The sequence below is a fragment of the Homo sapiens genome, chromosome 4, assembly GCF_000001405.40.
Source record: "Homo sapiens chromosome 4, GRCh38.p14 Primary Assembly".
NCBI classification, from domain to species: Eukaryota; Metazoa; Chordata; class Mammalia; order Primates; family Hominidae; genus Homo; species Homo sapiens.
The window spans coordinates 95121023-95135835 of record NC_000004.12 but is presented as its reverse complement, the minus strand read 5'-3'; the positions used below and the strand labels follow the sequence as shown (position 1 = coordinate 95135835).

Below are 14813 nucleotides of genomic sequence, written 5' to 3'. Positions count from 1 at the left end.
GGAAAAGAGGAAGTTAAATTGTCCCTGTTTGCAGATGACATGATTGTATATCTAGAAAACCCCATCATCTCAGCCCAAAATCTCCTTAAGCTGATAAGAAACTTCAGCAAAGTCTCAGGATACAAAATCAATGTGCAAAAATCACAAGCATTCTTATACACAAATAACAGACAAACAGAGAGCCAAATCATGAGTGAACTCCCATTCACAATTGCTTCAAAGAGAATAAAATACCTAGGAATCCAATTTACAAGGGATGTGAAGGACCTCTTCAAGGAGAACTACAAACCACTGCTCAATGAAATAAAAGAGGACACAAACTAATAGAAGAACTTTCCATGCTCATGGATAGGAAGAATCAGTATCGTGAAAATGGCCATACTGCCCAAGGTAATTTATAGATTCAATGCCATCCCCATCAAGCTACCAATGACTTTCTTCACAGAATTGGAAAAAACTACTTTAAAGTTTATATGGAACCAAAAAAGAGCCCGCATTGCTAAGTCAATCCTAAGCCAAAAGAACAAAGCTGGAGGCATCACACTACCTGACTTCAAACTATACTACAAGGCTACAGTAACCAAAACAGCATGGTACTGGTACCAAAACAGAGATATAGACCAATGGAACAGAACAGAGGCCTCAGAAATAATACCACACATCTACAACTATCTGACCCTTGACAAACCTGAGAAAAACAAGAAATGGGGGAAGGATTCCCTATTTAATAAATGGGGCTGGGAAAACTGGCTAGCCATATGGAGAAAGCTGAAACTGGATCTCTTCCTTACACCTTATACAAAAATTAATTCAAGATGGATTAAAGATTTAAATGTGAGACCTAAAACCATAAAAACCACAGAAGAAAACCCAGGCATTACCATTCAGGACACAGGCATGGGCAAGGACTTCATGTCTAAAACACCAAAAGCAATGGCAACAAAAGCCAAAATTGACAAATGGGATCTAATTAAACTAAAGAGCTTCTGCACAGCAAAGAAACTACCATCAGAGTGAACAGGCAATCTACAGAATGGGAGAAAATCTTTGCAATCTACTCATCTGACAAAGGGCTAATCCAGAATCTACAAAGAACTCAAACAAATTTACAAGAAAAAAACAACCCCATCAAAAAGTGGGCGAAGGATATGAACAGACACTTCTCAAAAGAAGACATTTATGCAGCCAAAAGACACATGAAAAAATGCTCATCATCACTGGCCATCAGAGAAATGCAAATCAAAACCACAATGAGATGCCATCTCACACCAGTCAGAATGGTGATCATTAAAAAGTCAGGAAACAACAGGTGCTGGAGAGGATGTGGAGAAATAGGAACACTTTTACACTGTTTGTGGGGCTGTAAACTAGTTCAACCATTGTGGAAGACAGTGTGGTGATTCCTCAAGGATCTAGAACTAGAAATACATTTGACCCAGCCATCCCATTACTGAGTATATACCCAAAGGATTATAAATCATGCTGCTATAAAGACACATGCACACATTTACTGTGGCACTATTCACAATAGCAAAGACTGGGAACCAACCCAAATGTACATCGATGATAGACTGGATTAAGAAAATGTGGCACATATACACCATGGAATACTATGCAGCCATGAAAAAGGATGAGTTCATATTCTTTGTAGGGACATGGATGAAACTGGAAACCATCATTCTGAGCAAACTATCGCAAGGACAGAAAACCAAACATCGCATGTTCTCACTCATATGTGGGAATTGAACAATGAGAACACTTGGACACAGGGTGGGGAACATCACACACCAGGCCTGTCGTGGGGTGGAGGGGGGAGGGATAGCATTAGGAGATACACCTAATGTAAATGACAAGTTAATGGGTGCATCACACCAACATGGCACACGTATACATATGTAACAAACCTGCACGTTGTGCACGTGTACCCTAGAACTTAAAAGTATAATGAAAAAAAAAACAGCAGGTGGGCCAGGCATGGTGGCTCATGCCTATAATCCCAGCGTTTTGGGAGGCTGATGCAGGAAGATCACTTGAGTCCAGGAGTTTGAGGCCAGCCTGGCAACATAGTGAGATCCCATCTATTAAAAAAAAAAAAAATTAGCCAGGCATGGTGGCACATGCCTGAAGTTCCAATTACTCAGGAGGCTGAGGTGGGAGGACTGCTTGGGCCTCGAAGGTCAAGGCTGCAGTGAGTTGTGATGGTGCCACTGCACTCCAGTCTGGGTGACAGAGCCACTCTTTGTCTAAAAAATAAAAATAAAAAAAGGTGTCTCAAAGGAAGAAACTGTGAAGATCAGTAGTTGTGATCTAGATACAGAAGGGGATATGGGTGTTCGGGTAATGATAAAAGCATGTTATAAACACTTGATGGTATGAGAAGTGTGAAGTCTTCAGAATAAATCTTGCCAAAGGTAAGAAGTGTGGTGGAAATAGGGCAGAAGAATAGCCCAGGGTCAGAAAAGAAAAGAGTCCACTGCACCAAGGGACTCTAACTACATTTTAATACGAAGCCACAGGAAACTATGAAATTATTTTGATGCCCAAAATTAGGCTTCAAGAAAATAAATTCAGTGGCAGCATGTACAGAAGACTGGAAATAGGAGAGACAAAGAGAAAGTAACTCAAAATGCTTCACCCCAGAATCTAGAAAAATGGTATAGAAGGCCCACACTGGCCCAGTACAAATGGGAATATTGTGGAAAGAAAATTCATTCACTTGAGCAAACCAAAAGTTAGGGAACGAAAGATGATGTCAGATACCTAATATTAAGAATGGATCAGCCAAAACTGGGAACTAGGAAGGAAATGCAGATACAGCAGGAAATCTAGCAGTCGGAAAATATGTAAGAGGTAAAAAGAGAGCAGAGCCAGTGGAGAGAGAGAAAGGAGAAGTTGGAGTACAGAGATACACCAAGAAAACAGGAGAAAGAAAGGTTTGGACACTGTGGATAGGGTGATGGCAATAGAGAAGGCCTCTGGTGACCAAGCCCAGTGGTGTCTCTGAATACAGCAGTGTCCAAAGAGAATGGAACAGAAGCCAAATTACAAGACTATTAACAAATTGCTGGGTTTTCGAAGCAGATGATCTTTTGGAACTCTTGGGAGAAATTTAACAGGGTGAGAGAAGGAGAGAGAGGCTGGTAATTTAAGAAGCATTGTGGGATTTTTTTTTTTTATAGGAAGACTTGAAAAGGGTTGTAGGTCAGAGGAAAAAAAAATCAGAAGGGAGAAAGGATTTAATAATCTTTATTGGCAGGAGGTTCATATTTCTAACTTAAATCTATAGCCCAAATCATTTCCTCTTGCTTTGTTTTTAAAGATCAAGAACTTCAATTTCCCATCCTTTACATGGTGAAGACCTTCATATATTTGGGGTATGTTATTAAATCACACCTCAGCCTTCAGTTCTGGCCGAAAATACCAATCAATCAGTCTTTTTTTGTGAATTTTACTTTCCAAACTTTTAATAATCTCCATGACTTTTTCTTTGTGCTCCTCTCCATGTATTACAGAGTCTTACTTAGAAAAATCCACAAGATGATCCAACATTTATTAATGGCTAAGCCTAAACTGAGTTCTTTAAAAGGTAGTTATACGATGATTTCTCTACACCAGTGGTTTGCAAGCTCATTTTGTTTTGTTTTCCAAACAGAGAAACCATTTATTCGAATTAAATCATCTGTGAGACGGAAGGAGCCTCTCTGATTAAAGTAAGAGTAAGCAAAATAGAGTCCCAACTATCATCTCCCCTCCCTACTGTGAAGAAGCTACTGATGTAACCCAAGCAGCCCTAAGGGTCTGAAAACCACTGTTTTACAACATGCTCTGGTTTATGTGCACAGATGTTAAATTCACTGTTTCAGGTACAGGATAACAGTACTGAATAACAGCTGGGTTTTGTTTATTAGTTTCTAACATTTCTCCCAAAACATCTATGCAAGTTATCTTTCCTATACCATATAAAAATTGTCTTTATCCATATATAATCTGTAAATTTTCCCCAAAACTTTTTCCTACTTGCAAATGTTATGCAGAATTCTGACTACGTATTCCCAGGAATTAGCTACTTCTTTTCTATATAACTTAATGACAGCTGCAAACCTAATGTGAACAGTCTCTAAGCAATGTCTCTGATGAGCATAGAAACAATAGAACAGACCCAAATATGCTGTGTTGCTAATAAAATGTTTGGTGGTTCTCCCCGTCAAATGTCAAAATTAATGATATTCCTCTTCTACTAAATATCCTAGAAGCACTGCGCTACAAAATAAAAAGTAACAGAAAAGAGTCATAAAACATGTATTTGTTCACTTTGATACTAACCTAATAAATTTAACAGCCAGGCCCAGGTCAGCAATACAGCAAGTTCCATTTTTCTTCACCAGAATGTTTTTACTTTTCAGATCTCGATGGGCAATTGCTGGTTTGCCTTGAGTACTAAAGATTTCTGTGTGTAAATGACATAAGCCACTGACAGAAGAGTAGGCTAACTTCAGCATTGATTTAGCGTCTAGGGTGGTGGACTTCAGATAATCATAAAGGGAACCATTTTCATGATAGTCTGTGATTAGGTACAACTGGGTCCAGGACCCTGTCCCTTTGATATCTGCAGCAATGAAACCTAAAAGGAAAAAAGATGAAAAGGTTTAGTGTTTTCCAAATAGTATCAGGAATAATTCATATTCTCAAACATCATTCTTTGTCATAGATAATTTTTGTTTAGCATTTCATTCAATTTCCTGACTATGCCTATGATGGTATTAAATGACTAATACCAATAAGAAGCAATCAAAATTGTACAAGTAAGGCTAGGCACAGTGGCTCACACCTGTAATCCAAGCACATCGGGAGGCCATGGCGGGTGGATCACTTGAGGTCAGGAGTTCAAGACCACTCTGGTCAACATGGTGAAACCCCATCTCTACTAAAAATACAAAAATTAGCTGGGCATGGTGGCATGTGCCTGTGATCCCAACTACTCGGGAAGCTAAGCAGGAGAATTGCTTTAACCTGGGAAGCAGAGATTACCGTGAGCGGAGATCACACCATTGCACTCCAGCCTGGGTGACAGAGCGAGACTTTATCTCAAAAAAAAAAAAAAAAAAAAAAAAAGAAAAGAAAAGAAAAAGAAAAAAACCTGTAGGAGTAGAGAAAGATTAAGAGTTTACATCTGAAAATATGGTCCCTTCCTAATCAGTAGTTGATGTTTAAACTACTTTATGGTATTACAAACTACTATGGTATATAAACTACTTTATGGTATTATGGTTACACATAAGACATTGCAAAACAGGGTCTTGAATTCTTGAATTAAGGAATATACCCCACTGATTAGCTTACTCTCCTTCTACTTGAACGATCCAGACAGATCATTTCTAACTTGCGAAACAAAATCAATTCTCAATATAAACTATTGATATAAATAAACCCTGCAGATAAGATTCCTACAACTTTTCTCAACATTTAAACAAAAATAAGTTCCTTCAAATTCCTAAGAAACCCTAAGAAATTCTGGTTTTACACTCGCATTTCCTGTTTCTGAAGAAAAAATATTTGAGAGTATTCCATTTCCAGCCTACCACTTACTCACAGAAGTGCCTTAGTCATTCCTCCTGTGAGGTCTCCCATTAGAAACTTATGATGTTCTTGGGCCCATGCCAAGAAGAAAACTTCAATACATTTCGCAACGGGTCTAGACAGATGAGTTAACATGCAGATGTTAACAGAAAGACAGAGGAAAGCTAGGAAACCCTGAACATAGCTATGCAGACTTTTACTCACCCAAAATGTTTTCATGCCTCATCAACACTGTCTGATATATTTCTGTCTCTCTGAACCAGCTGGCTTCCTCTGTGGTGAAGAACACTTTCACAGCTACCTTTTCGCCACGCCACTTTCCCATCCAAACTTCCCCATAGCGACCTTTTCCAATCTGTTTCACCATCTGAATCTGCTTAGCTATAGTCCTTTGGACCTGTGAAATCCCAAAACACACTGTTAGTGTATTCACAGCGCTACAGATTTGTTTAATCTTTTTTTCTCCAGAGAAGAAACGATTACTGCATGTAAAATATATTTAGCTAGTATTTTTCTCTATATAGACAACTTATTTGTATTTATTTATTAATTTATGTTACACTCTTTTAAACATATTTGAGATTGAGTGTGGATTCTGAATGTTCAAAACACTGCTTCCAAATTATGAAATACTTTATTTTAGTATTATTATTTTCTCAGAGAAAAAACCTGAGTAGGCTCATAGTAATCAGCAGAGTAGAATACTTGCACTTCCCCGTTATAATGGACTACTACATACTCTGAAGAGACTCGTCACCATACACCTAATCATGTATAAATATAACAAAACAAAATTGTAATGCATTGTTAGGCACATACAGAAATAAAGGAAATCTATATGCAGGGAGGAAGAAAAAAGGGAGGGAGGGAGGAAGGAGGGAGGGAAGGAAGGAGTTGAGACCAGACCAGGGAACGATAAACCAAGCTGCCGTCTGGGCAAAGAACAATACCAGAACTGGAATCCAGAGTTTAAACTCTGACTCCTTTAAAACCAGAGGAACTGAACCTAGGGCTTCAGCATTAAGCAGAGAGCATCAAATGGTACTAAATTTGCTATGGGTTGGTAGCATGCCAAGGCTCCTCATTACAAATGCTCTCTCTTGAGGAAACCATTTGCAGAATACTTTTCATGCCGTGACTATGGCGGGATAATAGTACTTTGAAGGAACTCTTGCCACCATACAACTTGATCATGGGTATAACATAAGAAATAAACTGTAATGCACTCCTGGGCTCACAGGGAAATAAAGGAAATATCCAAGAATGGGGAGGAAAAAGGAGAACAAAAAAAAATGGAGGGAGAGAAGAAAGAAAGAGAATGAGAGAAGATTATAGAGAATGAATTCTTTAGAACAAAGAAACAGTCACTATAAATGAGAGTCAACAGAAACAACCCAAGTAGATTTAACCTCTTCAGATTACATACTGGAATTCTGAGATACAGAATGCCAAGTAACTCTAAATGAAATGAAAATTGAATAAAAAATAAGCAAGAAAAGATTAATGGAAATTACATTTTTGTAATGAGACAGTTAATTGTCACAATAAAAAATGCAAAACAGGTAGACAAACCAGCATATTAGAGAGAAAAGTTAATAAGAGAAAGTAACAAGTTGGAGATAATATTATTTACCAAGCTCTAAGAGAGCTCTGAACAATATTATAAAGAGTGGAGTACAGACAAAGAGAATGAAAATATGAGTTAAGTGGCATTAAATTTAAATGTCTCTTTATATATGATCTTCATCACATCTGTACTTACAGTAAAATATTTGAAGAACTCTGATATCAATGGTTCCAAGATTGAAAGGGCTAAGCATCTATTACAATTTATATAATTTAGAGGACATAAGGAATCTAGCGTATAACTCTTATAACACCTGATCAGCAAACTGGAACGTATTCTTTGTAGAGATATACTTTACACCAATTAAAAACTTAAAGTTTTTCTTTTTGTACTTTTAAGAGCCATGCAATTACATTGGGCCACCCCAGATAATCCAGAATGATCTCATCTTATCGTCAGCAACCTTTGCTCACCTTTGTCATAGAACATAAAATTCTAGGGATTAGGTCTGGGCACGGTGGCTCATGCCTGTAATCCCAGCACTTTGGGAGGCTGTGGAGGGAGGATCCCTTGAGTCCAGGAGTTCAAGACCAGCCTGGGCAACATGGCAAAAACTCAGCTCTACAAATAATATGAAAATTAGCCAGGTGTGGTAGCACACACCCGTAGTGACAAGCTACTTGGGAGGCTGAGGTGGGAGGATCGCTTGAGCCTGGGAGGTCAAGGCTGTAATGAGACAAGATCGCACCACAACACTCCAGCCTAAGTGACAGAGTAAGACCTTGTCTTAAAAAAAAAAAAATCCTGGGGATTAGGGCATGAACATTTTGGGGGGACATTATATATTATATATTATTTATAATGAAGATTATAAATTTCGTAATTTATTAAAAAAGAACTGCTGATGTACCATGAAGCCACTGAAGCTTGATGGAAATAAGCAAGCAAGTTTATGTGTAATGCAGCCGTCCTCTCTTTAGGAGCCCTGTGCGCCATGAGACATCATGTTGAGTCCACTGTACTCCATTTCCAAACAAGGAAACAGGAGCAACATGGGCACCAGTTGGGAGCCAAATTCATACACAGGGAAATCACTCATTTGAGAGGAAACTTCCCACATTTATTAAAGAAAAATATTTAATTTACAGATCTTACAAAGCATTGCTCATGTAAGTCTATGGAGAATTTCCTAACATAAGCAGTTTTGCATCTGCTTTTTTTTCTAACGATAATACATTTTATAATTTAATTATAAGTTTTGACAGAATTGGCGATACTTGATAGAATAGGAACAACTTATCCCAAAGACAGAAAGTAAGCTATTATAACATGTAAGGACCTAAAAATATAACTTCAAAATTTTTTAACTGATTTATTTTAGTTTTTATTTGATTTAGCAAATGTTTCTGGTCCTTCTGTACCTAAACTTTAATTCTATATTACATTCTTAGATACCAACTTTTTAGATTGATTGTATAAATAAAATGCCTGTAAGATACAATGACTATAACTGTACTTTCAAAAAGATCACTATATTTCATGTACTCTGAGAATAACTGAATGTATAAGGAGTTATAAAGAATTATCACTATTCCAGGACTGTGAGAAGACATACACAGAACACACACACACACACACACACACACAGTCTTAATTCTTACAACAGCCCTACGATATTATTTCCTTTTAAAGTAGGAAAAAATTGACATTTTATGAAAAAGAAAAGATGCAAAATTAAAGGGCACGTATAAAGTCATTTGTTAAACACAAGGTCCAAGTATGTGGTTATATATAAGGCACTAATTTGCCCATTATGTTATTAAAATTAATAACAAATCAATGTTAAGATGAGGTATTCACTCACATATCAATATATGGAGAGAGAACTGTATACCTCTGCATTGTTTATCTTAATAACCAAATCTTAAAACCAGAAAATAAATCTGTAATAGAGACTTTTTCTTTATTGAACTGAGTTTTATAGAACCCTCCTTCCCATCCTACCGCCATCAAATGCACTTTCTTGTTTTATTTAACCAACATTTAGTTCACATCTCACTAATGTTAAGAGCACAGATCATCTGGGTTTGAATCCTGGCTTCTCCACGTACTAGCTAGCTGACCTATCTGGGCCTGTATCCCCTGATGTGTAATACAGGGTTATACTGATATTTCTGGTACTACCTTATAGGGTTGCTATGAGGACTAAATGAGAATTTGATTTAGTTTTAAAGGCCAATGTCTGGCCAGGATTGGAACCCAGACAATTTGGCTTGAGAATATATGCTTTTAATCATTATATGATGTGAGCCAAATATTATTTTTTGGTATCTGGATTATAGAAACAAGACAGTATTTTTATAGCTATTAAAAGTAGGAGCTGAAAGCTTTTTAAAAACAAATTATTGAACAGCGCCTATAATAAATCAGCCACTCTACTGGGGATAGAAAGTGAGCAAAATGTAACCTCTACCCCAAAGAGGACAGACTCCACCAAAAGACACAAGAACATTACCACTAATTATAACATTATTTTAAATGGCCATTATTAGTGCTAAAAATAAAATGTTATCACAGAAGATAAATAGACTGGCTTAGTCTGGGGTAACTGAGAAGTTGTCACAGAGGTAAAACATGAGGTAGGCCTTGAGCCATGAGTTGGAGTGATGTCCAGTAAAGAGATTACATTTGCAATGACGTGGATATATGTTGTATTTGAGAAACAATTACTCAAAGGTGATGCTAGAGCCCAGGCAGCATACTGGGAAGAGGTGGGAGGAGACGTCAGGAAGGCAGGTTGAGTTTATGTGCCACACATACCAAGCTGGGAAAGAAGACCTGCAAGCAGTATTGGGTATTAGGATATTTTACCCAGGACATAACAGTGCAAGATCAATGGTTTTGGAGAAAGAACTCCACAGTAATGGGAAAGATGAGTTTGAAGGCAAGAAACACTGGAAGAACTCAGTTTAAATTCCAAGAGCATCTAATTCATTAATACCAAAAGGGATTTTACTATTTGTACATCTCTTTTAGAAAAAAATAAGTGTAATACTATTGATTTTCAAATTGTATTTGCTCATATATTCTCTTCAAGGTTGGCAGTGCTGACCATCAGAAAATGAAGCTTCTCCTGAATGGAAAAGCCAGAACTTTACCCTGAAACATAAACCCCACAGCTGAAAAGCAACCCTCTTTCTTTGTAGAAATACTGAGAAGCCAGTTGGTTGTAATACTTTAGCCTTCAAAAGCCAGGCCAAAGTGCGGTAATGCTATCCTTATGGAAAACACAGGGAAGATGGTCCCGTGTTTAATGTTTTCTAATCTGCTCTTCATCAGAATGTCTGAGGGTCTGGATTGTAACCATACACCTACATTAAAAAACAATCACCTTACTCTCAATATGTCAAAATGTTATCAGGAAGCCCTGCAGCTGAGATCGGATGTCCAACAGACTGCATAGAGCTTTCTCCTTGTCCAGTGCCCTATTTCAGTAAGTGAAACCCCATATTCATTGACAGTTCTTTCAGAAAACATTTCCTTTAAATTCAAGATGTGTTCTTCTCATACCAGCAGAGGGAGGCCTGATCCACTTCCTGAGCTCTGAGACTGCTCAATTAAGTCTCTCAGGGATTCTCCAGGAGGAATGTAAGTTTCATCCTGTTCTAACCCAATGCTGTATCGAGGTCTGGTTTCTTGTCTTTTATACCTAAAGATGGATAGATGAAGATAATTTTAGATAATGAAATGCAATGATGGAGTAAAATATTGCAACTAAAATGGTAATCACAGCAGTTTTATTTTAGCACCTAAATATAATACATTAAATGCTTCATATTTTTTACTCTTAGTTATGGTTTCCCAAGTAAAACTCATTACTGTTTGGCTAACCTATTTTTTAAAATAAACTAAATAAACTACATATTTTTACTCAGTCTCAAGCATCTACAATTTTTCTTCTTTTATTTATTTCAAATTGCACATATCCAAGCAGACTACATTCTACTAGTGTTTCTAAATAGCTCCAATATTATTCCTTAAAATCTTTTCTAAGGTCCCTAATTAATTAAAGATGTAAATTTTGGGTGTACAAAAATCATTATAGCTAACTCTCTTATATAAGGTCATATCTAAAGAAATAATATAAATTTAATCTTTAAAAACTTTTTGTCAATACTTAAGTTTTCAATTAGAAATGAATTTATTTGAATCAATTAATCTGACCATTTGCAGAGTATCTCAAATGAGTAATAAATTAATCAAAAGGCAAATGACATAAATATCAAGGTCCTTAATATTTCACAATCTAGAACATAAGTTCATAGGCCATTAAAAAAATAGGAATTACCGAATTTAATATAATAAAGGACCTTATTTTAATGATTAATCTATAAATTATGTTTAAAATCTTTTAATAATCAGAAACGTTATAGCTTAGAAAATAAGGAATTTGAGCAACTCTTAAGTTCAACATGGCCATTTCTCTGCTTGGAATCAAACCTAAGTAACAACCAGTCTCTGAAGTCTCTAACTACCCTAGTTTCCCTAGGGATAAAATATTTATATGGGTAGTTTTGAAGTCTGAAGCAGAAATGAGATAGGTATCTATTTGTAACTTCATTAGGACAAATATTTATCAACAGTAACAGACATTTTCAGTTAACTATAAGATCTAATTAAGATAAATAAAGCTGTGGTGAGAAACACTAACAGGCAAAAGCAGAATATTAGTAAAAAGAAGACACTATAAATTAAAAATTTTGCATCTACATGTTAGAAACTTACCGGAAGTAACAAAATAATATGATAAGGACCAAGAGCAAACTACAGACAGTCACAGATATAAGTAAAGCCCTGTGGTGTATAGGTCCATCAACAAAATCTGAAATTAAAAAGAAAAAGAGCCATAATCAAGAGAATATTTTTACTTAAAAATAAGAAAGTAACTCTTTCCTAAAGGTACTTGCTAAGTATCACGCACAAAATGTGAAAGATCCTTTTCACATACCAATTAATTTTTTAAAAACCCATATATACTCAAAATTAAATAAGTTTGACTAGCGTGAATCATCCTTCACCTAGGCACTTAATCAAGAGCACACATTTCTTCCTGTCTGGAAGGAACAGGCTCGACACAGGATAAAACTACAGAAAGAACATCAACAAAGCTAAGTGGGTCTGTGCACCCACAATAGAAACAGGTAGTTCATCTTTATTACAGACGCAGCTCATGGGTTCATAGGCTCTTCTCATGTGGTCTCTGGAGTACTCTATACCATGAATTTGAATAAAAAAGCATCTATATAATTCATGGGACATAAAACATAACTCGTTGTATATAAAGTCATCTTATAGTGGATAAAAAGGAAGTGGACCCCTCAAATGTTGCCAAATAGAGAATATATGGTTGTGCGTTGTTTTAAACAAAAATGTGTTCAAAATCCATACTTTTTCTTAAACTGAATCATATTTTAAAAGAATGTATATGTTCCAGCCAAAGAATGTATGATACTTTTATACAACAAATTATTAAACACTACTCATTTTAACTCTAGTTCTTGACAAATCAGATTCCTCAAATTTTATATAAATGACTTAACTTTATACAATGTATATTCACTGACTTTAACCCCAAAGATTTCCATTCAAAGTACTTTATTTTTAATAATCATCCCAGGTAAATTTTACACGGGTGATTTCTGGGACATATTTTGAGGAAACTGACTTAAAACCAGGTGCACTTATATAGTAATACCATTAGTACCATTCTTATTAAAGGCACCATTTACCTTTGAGAGAGTGATTACTGTCATTTAATTTTAAAAGGTAGTATTGTAATTTATGACTTTGGATGCTATGGACAAGACGTTTTCCAACTGTACTATATACCTTTAACTATATGGCCACCTAAATATTTTGGCTGGGAATGTTCTTCCACTCAATGTAACTTTTTTTACTCAGAAGTATTATATGTTACATGAAGAAAAACTGAAAAGGATCAACTAACCAAAATAAAATAAAATCACTACCTCTTCAACACTCAGGAAAAATTACTGCTAACAGTATCATTTCAATAAAAATGTTCATAAGCAAAATATAATATATACTGATTTATAACTAGGTTGTTCTCATTTATAATACTGTGAACATTTTCCAGAACAACAAATATTTTTTTCTGCAACAGGATTTTTATATTGACACATAATTATAATATTTTAATACATACATAATGAACAGTGATCAGACAGCATATCCATCATCTCAAACACTTATCATTTCTTTGTGTTGGGAACATTCAGTGTCCTCCCACCTATTTGAAATTATTTATTATTGCAACATGACTTTTTTTTTTTTTTGATACAGGATCTTCCTCTGTGGCCGAGGCTGGAGTGCAGTGGCACAATCTCAGCTTACTGCAACCTCTGCCTTCTGGGTTCAAGCGATTCTGTGCCTCAGCACCCTGAGTAGTTGAGATCACAGGTACGAGCCACCACGCCCCACTTATTTTTGTATGCTTAGCAGAGATGGCTTTTTGCCACGTTGGCCCGGCTGGTCTCAAACTCCTGGCCTCAAGCGATCCTCGGTCTCCCAAAGTGCTGGGATTACAGGCGTGAACCACTGTGCCCAGCTACAACCTGACTTTTAAAGACTAAACTGTATTATACATAAAATCATCCTAATTAGAAAGTGAATCTTCTGTCATACATTCAGGAGATTCTAAAGATTCTGCCATAAGGCTTCTTTGTTATACACAATTCTGTAATAAACACTCTTACACATACATCTTTGCACATGCTAATGATTATTTCCTTAATAAGATTCCCAGAAGTAGGTGTGTTAGTTCATAAGATATATATTTTAAGTCTTTTCATACATATTGTCAAATATTCTTTTTAAAAGGTAACAGTAATTTCTATTTTACCATCAATGTGAACAAAGATTTTAATTATTTTGAAATAATTTCACCCTTACAGAAAAAAAATAAGAAAAAAGAATTCCAATGTGCCCTTCACCTAGATTTCTCATTGTTAACATTTCATCATTTTAAAAATAATTATCTTGCCTTCTCAATGCCTCTCTCTCTCAATATTTATGTATAATATGCATACATACATTTGCATTCAAATTTTTTATTTGTTTACTTATTTGTGTGTCTGTATTATTTTTGGATCATTTAAAGTTTTAGACATAATGCCACTATCCACTTATAAATACTTCAGAGGGTACTTCCTAAGAACAAGGATACTATCTTACTAAACAATAATGTGCTCAAAGGGTTAATGCACAGCCCCGTGATGCGCTTATTTCACACTGCATGCCCAGATCAAAACATCTAGGAAATTATCATGAACACATAAACTGAACATAAATCTTCCAATCCATGAGCATAGGATGTTTTTCCATTTGTGTTGTCTCTGATTTCTTTCAGCAGTGTTTTGTAGTTCTCCTTGTAGAGGTCTTTTACCTCCTTGGTTAGCTGTATTCCTATGTATTTCATATTCTTTGTGGCTATTGTAAATGGGAGTGTGTTCTTGATTTGACTCTCAGCCTGGATGTTATTGGTGTATAGAAATGCTACTGACTGGCTGGGCACAGTGGCTCACGCCTGTAATCCCAGCAGTTTGGGAAGCCAAGGTGGGCGGATCACCTGAGTTCAGGAGTTCAAGAC

The 14813-nt window shown here is 36.1% G+C and overlaps 1 protein-coding gene across 12 annotated transcripts in view; it reads right to left on the bottom strand.

The window, feature by feature from the left end:
* The window catches only part of BMPR1B (bone morphogenetic protein receptor type 1B), a 400496-nt gene that overhangs the window by 22615 nt on the left and 363068 nt on the right, over positions 1-14813 (bottom strand). For all 12 annotated transcript variants that reach the window (XM_017008559.2, XM_047416093.1, XM_047416091.1 and 9 more), the window contains 4 exons: positions 11930-12026; positions 10715-10853; positions 5782-5974; positions 4324-4621 (listed from right to left, as the gene is read on the bottom strand). In XM_017008559.2, the coding sequence (XP_016864048.1) occupies positions 4324-4621; positions 5782-5974; positions 10715-10853; positions 11930-12026 (727 nt within the window). The remainder of the gene's footprint in view (positions 1-4323; positions 4622-5781; positions 5975-10714; positions 10854-11929; positions 12027-14813) is intronic.